The sequence below is a fragment of the Homo sapiens genome, chromosome 10 (genome assembly GCF_000001405.40).
Source record: "Homo sapiens chromosome 10, GRCh38.p14 Primary Assembly".
NCBI lineage: Eukaryota > Metazoa > Chordata > Mammalia > Primates > Hominidae > Homo > Homo sapiens.
The window spans coordinates 52,776,885-52,789,501 of record NC_000010.11 but is presented as its reverse complement, the minus strand read 5'-3'; the positions used below and the strand labels follow the sequence as shown (position 1 = coordinate 52,789,501).

The 12,617-nt window shown below is 47.3% G+C and overlaps 2 long non-coding RNA genes across 2 annotated transcripts in view; one reads left to right on the top strand and one right to left on the bottom strand.

Annotated features, from left to right (window-relative positions):
- The window catches only part of LOC105378307 (uncharacterized), a 28,825-nt gene extending 21,464 nt beyond the window's left edge, over positions 1-7,361 (top strand). Inside the window, exons 3-4 of the long non-coding RNA XR_945965.3 lie at positions 5,168-5,386; positions 6,964-7,361. This is a non-coding gene — a long non-coding RNA (uncharacterized LOC105378307). The remainder of the gene's footprint in view (positions 1-5,167; positions 5,387-6,963) is intronic.
- LOC105378306 (uncharacterized) overlaps positions 1-10,344 on the bottom strand; it is a 33,317-nt gene extending 22,973 nt beyond the window's left edge. The window contains exon 1 of the long non-coding RNA XR_945963.2: positions 9,959-10,344. This is a non-coding gene — a long non-coding RNA (uncharacterized LOC105378306). The remainder of the gene's footprint in view (positions 1-9,958) is intronic.
- Between the last annotated feature and the right edge of the window lie 2,273 nt (positions 10,345-12,617).

Here is a 12,617-nt window from a genome sequence, read left to right as displayed (position 1 = left end):
ATCAAAGAGTGCTAGGAAATGCAGTTGGGTTCATGAACAGGAAAAAAGAATTAGGTTTTATAAAAGACCTGTCGGCTGGGCCCGGTGGCTCACACCAGTAATCCTAGCACTCTGGGAGGCCGGGGCAGGTAGATCACCTGAGGTCAGGAGTTCGAGACCAGCCTGGCAAACATGCTGAAACCCTATATCTACTAAAAATACAAAAATTAGCCGGGTATGGTGGTGTGAGCCTGTAATCCCAGCTTCTCGGGAGGCTGAGGCAGGAGAATCGCTTGAACCTGGGAGGCAGAGGTTGCAGTGAGCTGAAATTGTGCCATTGCACTCCAGCCTGAATGACAAGAGCTAAACTCAGTACCCCCTCTCCCACCGCAAAAAAAAAAAAAACCCTGTCATTTTAGTGAGTCTCTGTCATAAGAATCAAACATTTCCTAATATTCCTACCAATTTTCCCAGACTGTTAGCTCCACAGTATCAAAAGTAAAAGTGGTTTTTGTTCACAGAGAATAATATGACTGGGACTCTATCTCATTTTCTATCTCTCAGCTCTTATTCTACCTGTTGCCTTCATTCTCAAAAAGGTTTTTTCTAAGCAGCCAGAAAGATGATCCTCTTAGTCTCCAGCCTGTACTTTCCTTACAATCTCTTTCCCTGGGTCACAAAATATACCCACTCACAAAATATTCCCATCACTGAGATAATCATGGTGATCTATAGGCAATATACAGGCTGGACATGAATGTATATCCTTTTTTCATGTGGTAAAGGGGGAGCAAATCAGCTGAACCACATAGAAACAATTTACCACAGAAAAGAGGGATTCATTTACTAGAATCAGAAGGAAAGAGATTCTGGAGAATCAAAGACATCCAATGCCCAGTACATGGAAATCTGAATGGACTGTCCTGCCAGGATGAACACTGATTGAGTTTATTTCAGAGTCACAATAAAAAAATAAGCAATAAAGAAGAGCAGTTAATTTGGACTAGATTGTGGAAGAGCTTGGGAATAATCATGCTTATATTTTGCACTACTTTTTAAAGGAGTAATAACTGTGTGTGATCTAGTTTTGCTCTGTGTCCCCACCCAAATCTCATCTCGAATTATAATCTCTATATGTCAAGGGAGGAAGCTTGTGGGAGGTGATTGGATCATGGGGGCCATTTCCCCCATGCTGTTCCCATGATAGTGAGTTCGTTCTCATCAGATCTCATGGTTTAAGTGTTTGGCAGTTCCCCTCTCCCTCGCTGTCTTTCCTGCCACCATGTACGATGTATGTTCCTTCCCTTTTGCCTTCTGCCATTACTGTAAGTTTCCTGAGAAAACTTTCAATTGACTTACAATTCCATAGTCACATGGAACTGTGAGTCAATTAAACCTTTTTTCTTTAAAAATTTCCCAGTCTCAGGTAGTTCTTTATAGCAGTGTGAGAATGAACTAACACAGTGTGCAAAGCCTACAACGGGCAGATTCACACAGCAGTGGAAGCAGAATAGACAGCAACAAGGACCAGTGAGAGAGGATGAGCAGATGTGTCAGGGGGCTACTGCAGAAGTCTAGGGCTGAAGTAACAATGCCTGAGAAGAGCTCATGGATCTACAAATAAAGCTACAAAAACATATGTGAGATGTTGCAAAAGAAAAATCAACATGACTTTTTAATGTTTAGATAAAAGAATGAAATAAGAAAAAATATTGGTAGGGAGACTTTGAGAAAAGTAATCAGAACTAGGTTGAACTGGTTGAACTGAGTTATGGGGTGGGGAATTTTTAACTTTCCCCCTTTTTATTTGGCACCTGAATGTTACTGTGATGTTACAAAATGAAGGGCCATTGTAGATGCATGGGAAATTTTTATTTTTTATAATTTCAGTGAATAGCTCTAGGATATTCCTGTTACATCCAGCCATTCCACATATATACACCTTCTGAAACTCCTGGCTTGTTTTATATGTGAATTTTTTGTAACTTGGTAAATTCAAACTCTGAGATACAAGCAATCTGGAAAGTCAGGCAATATTAGCAATATCCAAAAATCACTTAAGACTCTGAGGGAAAAATATCAAAAGCCCTGGCATATTTTGGAATGTGGATTTATAGACTTACTAAAAAAAAGGAGTCTTGATAAGATTTATTATACATATATATGATTTATATGATATAAATATTAAACAATGTTAGATCATATGTAACTACAACAACAGCAAGACAAAAAGCATTAAAATAAAACAAAACTTCGTTTGGTAAGAGAAAGTACAGACCAAAAAGTATACCTAATTTAGGCCATGCTCTACCCTGGGATGGGTCCTTCCTACCTTCAGGCCAATGTTGCAAATGCTGAGCCAGTCATGGCATCCCGACAGGACAGAAACTCCTTCCACGTAGGTGCTATTCAGTTTCTCATGCAGCAGATGAGAAAACTGAGGCTAGATAAGTGAGGTCACTACTGAGGATGACCTATCTCAGGAAGGAGCAATGCTGGCCTGGGGCAGGTGAGGTTGAGAAAACTGAGGCTAGATAAGTGAGGTCACTACTGAGGATGACCTATCTCAGGAAGGAGCAATGCTGGCCTGGGGCAGGTGAGGTCACTTCTGGAGCTTGACCCAGCTCTGGAGGAAGCAGGCCCTGACATGACTCCCAAATCGGCCAAGCAAATGCTGATCCAGTGGTTTCCCTTCCTTTCTTCCCTCACTCTCCACCTGTTTGGGGCCTTAAATCATCACCTTTTCTCACACTTAGCTCCTCAGGATCTCCCTAGCATCAGAAAGAACCCTGAGCCCAGGGTCCATCTCTTCTTACTCCAAAGTCACAATCAAAGAATCACATGATAAGCCTTGAGATTACGATTCTGAAAGCACCTCCTGAGCTCAGAAGGCAGAGAGGGTCTGTTCATCAGTGAACAGAACAGAGCCCACAGGGGAAGAGCCCGTAACCTGCAGCCCACACTCCAGTAACCAGAGCTTGATCAAGGAAGCTACAAGGAGTGGATGAGATTGGGGGCCACAGCTAAACTCCCAGATCCAACCTTTGCATAGTACCAAGGACAAAGCCCAGAAAAATAAGCTGACACCCTAAAACCCAGGAGTCAGGAGTCAGTGTCAAGCCAGTGCCCACAGCCAGAAGGCTGAGCCTGAAGCAGAGTCAGTGACCAATACAAAGGATCCCACATGCAGAGCCTGACCTCTCCCTCCTGGGAACCAAGATCAGAGTCCAAGAATAATGCAGGGTCCATCCCAGAGGTGGCGAGCGGGATATCCTGTTACCACAGACATATGGGACAGAGAATCTCCTTGGGTCTGTACGAAGCAAAGTCACGTTCACAGTTTCCCCTCCCATGGTCAGTGGCTTTGGGCCGTGGGTTCTAGGAGCTGGGAGATGCCCTGAATTGTTAACAGTTGACTCCTTCTTGCTCTGTCATTCCTGGCCTTCTGCTAGTACCTGTTCTGTGCTAGGGCTGTACTGGGTGGGCTCGGTGATGAGCAGCATTCAGCCCTGTGCTGAGAAGTTCACAGTTTGGTAGAGTGAGACCTCATCACTAGATGAAAACATCCATAGGTTTTCCCAGCAGCCCTCTTGGTGGATACTCACAACCGAACCTAGCATAAGTCTCCACAGAACTCGCCTCTTCTGTTGTGTCCACACAGAAGCCCAGGGAGTGATCTGAGGAAAGCTGGTCGACTGATAGCTACTGGCTGGGCCCTGTAAAGGAAGTTTAATCCTCTGGACTCCATCCAGGAGTCACTTGATTGGCCAGGAGGGAACTTCCCTCCCTGGCCGATCTGATAGGAACAGGGTGAGGTCTCATGCTGCCTCCATCTCAGGCCACCCTGCTCCTCTATGCCCCCACTGTCAGACCCAGTCCTGCTTGTCCTCATAGGCCCAGCTCAGCCCTGCATCCATGAGGAATCCTTACTATGAATGATGACCAAGCTGAGCACATGCTGGGGCCCATCCTTAACACGTCACCTTTGTTGTAACATTCCAAGAACCCTGAGAGGCAATTCCTATGTTAAGGAAGCCATTTTACTGGAGAGAATCTTGGGGCCCAGTAAAGGAGTATCACCGACTCCAGGTGACCCAGCCTGAAAGTTCGACAGCCCAGTGCAAATGTCAGTAGGTCCCACCCACAGTGTACTCATTCAGAACAGCTTCCTTGACAACCCTAACCTTTTCCTCTAATCAGAAATACTTCAGCCACTGCCCAAGGTCCTGGGACTGCTCAAGCTGGTCCATCAAACTATAAGGCAGGAGTCAAGACCTGGGAGCCTAGCAACTTCTTCCTCTCCCAAAGGCAAAGTTTCTCTACTGTCTTCCCAGTTCCTGTATCATTTCTGAGGACGAGGTTGATCTGCCTCACATGAGCATGTAGGCACCACTAAATCACATCACACTCTGTCACCTGGCTTCCAGACACCCCGGTGTTCAAATGACAGGTCTCAGCACTTGCAGCCTGAGACAGCATTGTGAAGTGGGGGTGCCACTGGGGCAGTCCCACAAAGCCAGATGAAGAGCCTGGTGACCCTAAGGGTCTGGTCCCCCTTGTAAGGAAGGCAAAGCTGAGGAATCACAGCCAGAGCTACCTTCCTGTGGCTTTCACAGCTGAGCCTCATCCAGCCCCACTCAGGACCCTGCAAAGCCAGAGCATCCAGGGCACCAGACCTGCATGGGATCAGAGTTCTCTGGGCCCTGCTGGAGTCATCACTACACACACTTCTCCCTCTAGTGAATTCTGGGGGTTAAGCCATTGCTATGTACTGAATGTTTGTGTCTGCCTAAAATTCATATGTTGAAGCCTAAATTCCCAAGGTGATAGTATTAGGAGATGGGGCCTTTGGCAAGTAATTAGATCATAAGGGTGGAGCCCTGAACAAGGGGATTAGTGCCCTTATAAGAAGAGACAAGAAAGAGATAATCTCTTTCTGTCTCCACTATATGAGGATACAATGACAAAATGGCCTTCTGCAAACCAAGAGCAGTGCCCTTACCAAACATCAGACTGCCAGTGCCTTGTTTTTATACTTCCCAGCCCCAAGAACTGTGAGAAATAATTGTCTGTTGTTTAAGTCACCCAGTCCGTGTTTTTCTGTTATAGCAGCCCAGACTGACTAGGACAGCCATTCTCTAAATCAACTAAAATGTATTGAGACAAACACCTTTCTTCTTTCTGAAAGGTAAAGTGAAGGTACAGGACATCCTGGAAGCTGAGCAGAGGGGCATGGAGCCGTTCCATCCCAGACGAAGCGGCATCCCATGCCTATGGGCTGAGAAGCAAATGCTCCCAGCCAAATGTTCCATCACAATCAACAAATACAAGAGGATCCACTGCCAGAAGCTGGAGTTGAATTTATCTTTCCCTTATTCTTTACCTCAGATCTGCAACCTCCTGTCTGGTGAGGATGAGATTTTGTTCAGCCTCCCAAGCTCTCAACCAATTACCATTAACTTTTAGTTCTAAGGACAGAATCTGTCCCTGAGAAGAAGAAATGGTATTTCCAGCTTTTCTTTGATATCTTACAATCTATTCTGTAGATCTCTAGTTCATTTTTACGACTCACCAGGTCTTTGGCTTCAAAACTTCCCACCTCTTTCTGTTAGTCATAATCTACCCTGACAGGTAATAACTGAGACACAGACTCCATTTCTTTCTGCTGATAGAGTTCACTCATTTCATTTCCTCTCTCCTCTAAGATGCGGATCTGACCTTTTCATTCAGCTTCTTCAGTTTGAGCCCCTTTCAGAGGACTTGTCCGTTCAGCTTTTCTGTACTCTTCTTCAGCAACGTTGGCATAGATTGAATTTTCCTCTATTTTCAATGTTTAAACGTCCAACTTCCCTACAAAACCCTTCAGTTTCCTCTAGGATCCTTTTGCCTAGTTTCAACATGATCTCCATTCTCTGATTGGACATTATCACCAATGTTCTCCTCTCCCAGGGAGGCTGCCAGTTCTTCGGTTTTGCGCTAACAATCCTGCAGAAACTTGAACTTACTCTTCACACAAGTGCTGGATCTCTGTATGGAAATGATGAGAATTTTTTCAGTTTTCTGTGATAGGTTCAAGCATGTGTGTCTTGGCATCTTCCACTTGTGTTGTGATGAATTAGATTTCTTTTTCTAGAGCCTGTATCTTTCTTTTAGGATCAGACACTGATTGTCCTTGGTCTGAACATTGAGGCTTCTCTTATCCCATGGTTGACTAGGATGCGAATGCAATTCTATATTATTCACAGAGCTCAATTTGCCCAGAATACCAAGCACTTCTGGATTTTCATATTCTCTGATCATAGGTTGACATTTCATGTGTTACAGAGTGGTTGCCAGTCCTCAAGAGTTTACCTCTGGTGGAGGAACACGAAATACTCACAAATCATCCACCATTCTGAGATATGTGTGTCCTGTAGTAGGGGAAAGAAACCATGAGAAAGAAGAAGGTATAGCATCCCAGGCAGTGGGCCAGACTGCACTGAGGCAGAAGCAGGAACAGAGTTTGCCATGTTGAAGAAGTGAAAGAACAAAGGCAGAGCAGTAGGCCTGGGAAGGCGGAAGCGGAGGTTTTCTGCAAGAAAAGGATGTGAGGGGAGTTTAGGAACTCACAGTGGACCAGTCACACTCTAGTGATGACATAAAAAGGCAGATGTTGTCAGTTGGAGCCATGGTCACACAGAATATTGATTGGACTGAGGAGCAAATAATGGCTTTAAAGGCTAGCAGACTTTGGGTTGTATTTGCAGTTCTTCCCTCATCTGAGAAATGGGGACATTTACTCTGACACCCACAGGATGCCTGGAGAGATTAAATGCCATACAGTCTGTAAAGTGCTTGGGTCTGACCCTGCACCCCACATCACAGGGGGATATCCAGTGCTAAGATTCATACAGATTCTGCAGGTCTTAAGCACTTTTGGTTAGCCTTGGTGGGTTTTTTCAAACCTTTAAATATTAATCTTCCCCAAATTTATCTTCCTTCCAGGCCCCCACAGGGTCCAGCCCTCCTTCTGTGATTTCTTCAAACTGACACCCTGGAGGCTGTTGATGAGAGGACACCCTCTGGTGAGGAGACACTGGGTTCACAGTCCAAAGGCAGAGTACCAGTCATACTCAAGGTGAAGAAAAATTGCACACAGTAGGCCCGAGACTATTATTTTTAGAGGCCTACTTGCAAGGTTGGCCTTTGGCTGAAGTCTGGGAGCTTGTATTTCTCAAGAGTTCCCACCATTCCCAGAACTTACAAGAGTGGCTCACTGTACCTAAACTGTTATACAAACAATATGATTTATGCTAAACACCTCTTTTCCTTCTAGGAGTCCGGAATTTTGGTGCATGCTAGGCAGAAAGTGACCAACATCCAATAAAAACTTTGGACACTCAGTCTCTAATGAGCTTCACTCGTACATAATATTACACATATGTTGTCAGAGTCTGTTGCTGGAGGAATTAAGCATACCCTCTGTGGTTCCACTGAAAGAGGACTCTTGGAAGCTTGCAATTGGTTTCCTCCAGACTTCACCTCCTGCACCTTTTTCCCTTTGCTGATTTTGCTTTGCATCTTTTCACTATAATAAATTATAGCCATAGCTGGGTGCAGTGACTCATGCCTGTAATCCCAGCACTTTGGAAGGCCAAAGCGGGTGGATCACTGAGGTCAGGAGTCTGAGACCAGCTTGACCTACATGGTGAAACCCTGTCTCTACTAAAAATACAAAAAATAGCCAGGTGTGGTGGCACATGTCTGTAATCCCAGCTATTTGCGAGGCTGAGGCATGAGAACTGCTTGAACCCGGGAGGCAGAGGTTGCAGTGAGCCATGATTGTGCCACTGCACTCCAGCCTGGGCAATAGAGTAAGACTCCGTCTCATATAAATAAATAAGTAAATAAATTATAGCCATGGGTATGACTATAGGCTGAGTCCCAGGAGTCCTCCTAGTGAATCGTGGAACCTGGGAAGGGCCTTGTCACCTCAACACAGATGACATACTGTATACCAACTCAAGGCGTTGTGTGAATTAAGTGAGGTATTACCTATAAAGCAACTAGCACACAGAAGCACATATCAGTTAGTCAACAAATGCCTGTTCCTTCTCCCTCCCTTTGTCCTTCTACATCTTTCTAATTTTTCTCTCATAGCTCATTGCTTTTATTGATTAACAAATGTTTGCTGTGGTCCCATGTTTCAGGCAGTGTGAAAGATACAGGATAGGATGACCACAGTGAGCCCGACCCTCTCTCCTCATCTCACAGTCCAATGTCTGAAGTTGTCTGTCTCCATTTCTGTGTTTATATCTGGGCTGGCTTGAGACATCAGGGATGGGCAAGTTTCTGCATCTCTTCAGGATGTGCCTGTGGGCCCTCAATCCTCCCAGGACAAATCTTTGGCCAGGTCCATGTTTCCTAGGGCAGTTCCTGAGGAGGAAGTGTCCAGGCAGGCCCAGCTCCCTGTGTATCTGCAAGAGCCTCTTTTATCCTTTACAAGATGCAAGACCTGCTACCTGTGTTTCCAGCCTGGCATGAAGAATCTGGCTAAAATCCTAACCCCACAGCCCAGAGCAACAACCTCGAGGAGGAGTAGCCTCAAATGAAGCACCAGCCAGCAGACCCCAGAGCCACCTGACCTGGAGCAGATCCAGTGACTGGTTGTTCAGGGCTTACAACATAGACTCCTGCCTATCCAGAGGGTAGAGACCACAAAGTCAAATGGAGCCCAGAGTTCATCCACGTAGCATGAGCCATGACCAAGGGCTTGGTGTCCTGATTCCCGAGGTCTAAGTTCAGAGACCAGAGCAGAGACCAGGAGCTCTGATCTCCTAACCTTCAGCCATGATCTCAAACAACCAAGCCCAGAGATAGATGGACTGAGGCTAGACAGTCAGGACAGGGACCAGACCCCAAATTTAGAACTCAAGTTTCAAAGAAAAAAATTAGATCAAGGCCCTGGGGTCAGCCCAGAGAGCAGCTCCCAGAACGAGGAGACCAGAATCCAGGCCCAGAATCTGCAGCCCAGAGCTCACATCTTGGAAAGGGAGGAGAGGAGAGACAGCACTACTATTTGCGAGATGCCTGGCACCCTGGGAAGTTCCAGAGACCCGAGTCTGGATTTAGTCTTTCAAATGCCAAGATCTTTACTACACCTAACATTTGCAATGCTTTTCTTTCTCCTTGAAATGTACTCTGATCTCTCAGGGTATCCCTTGGCCCCCTGCAGTCCTAAGCATGGCCACAAGATGGCAGGGCTGACCCATACTTTCCCTGTGGGACACAGCAAAGTTTGTTCTTCCCTCAAGTGCCCTGGGCCTTCAGGGCCAGGATACCCCCATCCCTCACCATGGCCCCTGGAGGCCATACAGAGCCGCCTGAGAAGACAATCCTCCCTCTCCACCATTCTATCGCTCTTTAAACAGGGGAGTCAACTTGGGGCCAAGTATTCCTGGGTGAGTCTGACCTCGTTATTCTAGGTCTGCGTGTGTCTGTCCGCACCTATCTCAGAAAGCAATCCTTCTTGGTCCTCTTTCAGCGCCAAGAATTTTTTTTCTTGTTTTCTCAGTGGGTAGAGCTTCCCGATTAGCACTCTTACATATTTACCATTACTAAATGCTCTCCTTCCGCCCATTTACAGCTGAATAACTGAGGCTCAACAAGATGAGGGCGCTTGTCTAAGTCACAACCCTCAGGTCAGGATGGAGTGGAATGAAAATGAGATATGTGTACATCTGTCCGTGACACCTTCCTGACCCCCTCACTTGGGGGGTCTGGTGACTGGGTACCCAACTGTATGCAGAGGGGAGAGGCAGCTGGTCTGTAGCCCAGCCAGCCCTGTGGAACCAGCCTTTCCTTGGCCCTTCTGGAAGAGAAGGTCTCCCTTAACCCTCCCCGACCGTCCCCCACCTCCAATTCAATAGGCAGTTCACTCTCAATCAATTCAACGCACTCTCCTCCAGGGTCTCTACTTTTCTGTCCAGGACAGACTCACCTGTATCTCCATCTTCCTATTCTAGAGAGGTGTTTGTGGGGATTGATTGGGTTCCTCTGAGGTAAGTGGGTCTCTTAAAGCTGCGCTGGGCTGGGGGCCGATGTGGATGTGTTGTGCTTGAGGAGGGAGGGAAGGAGGGGAAGAGGGAGGGAAGGAGGGGAAGAGGGAGGGAAGGAGGGGAAGAGGGAGGGAAGGAGGGGAAGAGGGAGGGAAGGTGGGGAGGAGGGAAGCAGGGAGGGGAAGAGGGAGACAGAGATGGGAGGAGGGAGGCAGGGAGGGGAGGAGGGAGAAGCAAGGAAGAAAGGAAGGAGGGAAAGAGGAAAGGAGGAAGGGAAGAAAGAGGGAGCCCAGCCTCCAGCCTCTGGGCCCAAAGCCGGCAAGGCCCACCCCTCTGCCTTCCTTTGCTGCTCAGCTTTGCCGCGAGGCCGGGCTGGAGGGACCCTTGATGTCACAGCTGCAGACAAAGGGAGCACACAGGGCCTGTGGACTTACCGTGTGCACGACGATGCGGACACACCTACTGTGCCAGGCATCAAAGGACTCTCAGCTCCCAATTTACCCTTCAAAACATGCTCTGTGATTAAACCACAGAATTCCTTTCAGCGTTTTTCGAGTGAGCACGATGCAAAGCTTCTCAGTAGAGGGCGCTAGAGAGACATGGCAAGAAGAAGGGGGCTCCTGCAGTTTCGGGAGGCCCCCTCGGGAGTCGGCCTGGCGGGTGGGAACATCTGGGGGCACCGCGGTTGGAATGCGCAGTCTGGCCGCGAATCCGGGGGCTTGCAGTTGCGCCCTGGCCTCGCCACCAACCCCCTGCAGCCCTCGCGACAGGGACACCGAGGCACGAAGCCTCCTGCCTGCACCTCTGTTGTGCTGCCTCTGCTCGTCCCTCCCTCTTCCCCCAGGTGTGTCTCCCGCAATCTTAGGGAAGCGGTGCCCCTCCCAACAGGGACACCGCGCTCCGGGCCGCCTGTTGCACCTACGACCCACTCCCGCGGCGCGACCACTGCGGCCAGGACCTGCGGCTTGCCTGGCCCACCTGTGCTCCGGAGGGGGGCTGATGCCTGCTTGTCCCAGAACTGCAGAGAAGCTCTGGCCCAAAAAATTAGCACAGCCACCCAGTGGGTTCAACTACCCTTTCTCCAGTGAGGTCTGAACCATACAGAATGTCTTACATTCTATACTTTTTAATCAGGGTTTAATAATTCTTTATATTAAACTACCCCTGTTTAGATCACTGTGTGATGTCTGTTTCCTGATTGGCTCCAGAGTGCTAAACCTTTTCATCCTCGCAAAGCTACAGGTGAGCTCATTTAATCACAGGTGGGGAGACAGACTTTAAGAAATGGCACAGACTCCCATTCAGATACTCCCCCTCTCCCAAGCACATACACAAGTATATGTACACAAGTGCATGCACACGCACACACATGGATACATACAGGGTGAATTTTTGTCGAAGCGTACAGTGTGGGATCTTAGGTAAATTAATGATGCAATTAATCCGTTAATAATGCAATTAATCTATCATTAATCTACATCTGAGCTTTCTGTGTCTCTGGTCCCAGGAAGGTAGAAAAGAGCAGGAAGGGTACCAGGAAAGCTGCCTCATGATATTGGAAGCTCTTTGGGGTCACTTATGATTTTTTCCCTGTTGTACCCAGGCTTGGCTCTTACATGCAGCTAATCACAAGAATCAAGTGAGATGGTGTTGGGAAGAAGAGTGTTTCTGCCCAACTCCCTACATTTCTGATCCTACCCTAAATATCTAGATTTTTAACCATCACAGGGAAGGCGGTTTGGTGATCTAATTGGTTAGAGCCCAAGCACTCACTGTGCCATGGCTTTTGGTAAGCCTCGAAAGGTGAGCACCTCTCTGCGGTATCCTCCCTATGTTCCCAGTTTCAGGCCTGGGGAGCTGCCATCTCTGTCTCTTCCACTCCTCCTTGCTGGTATCTGTGGGACTGGTTGGTTTAGATGCAGGAGTACCATCTCTCCAACTCCGTTTTGTGTGTCAGAAAGCTTTGCTTGTTTGTCTTTAATACGCCAAATCTCCTGTTTCTAACCCCCTGACTTCCATCTCTCCAGTTTCCCAGTCCTGCAAGAGTCCTTTGCTCTGCTCTTGCAGTTTCTCCGTGTGTTCTTCAGCAATATGCACCCTGATGGTTTGCACTTTCTATCGTGTTTATTATTCTAATGGCTAATGTCCATGTTAATATTTCTACTTCATTGCTTTTCTACTGCCTCTTGCTTGTGTCATGTGGGCAGTATCTTCACTGATTTTTCTATGGATATTGATTATACTTATTTTAAATTACTGGTATTCCTTTCCAATAATTTTGCAGCCAGTAGTGTGTGCTTCTGGTCCTTATCTTTCCATTGTGCTGATCGTGCCCCTCTCAGCCTGCTCTTTATCTTAGCAGTGAGCAACCTCCTTTTGGGGGTGTAGCCTGTCTGGTCACCTCTGACACATGCTGCTCTAGGTCACCAGGTGAGCCAAAGCAGAGGCAGAGAATGGGCCTGGACAAGAAGTGTCCCTGGCCCCAGAAACCTATCAATGATGGTCACCCACTAGGAAATTCTTGTTTTTTTTTTTTAGAGAGGGAAGCTGCCCCAGAGGGAGGACGCTGGTGGAAGGAATATACCAGGCCTGGGAGTGAAG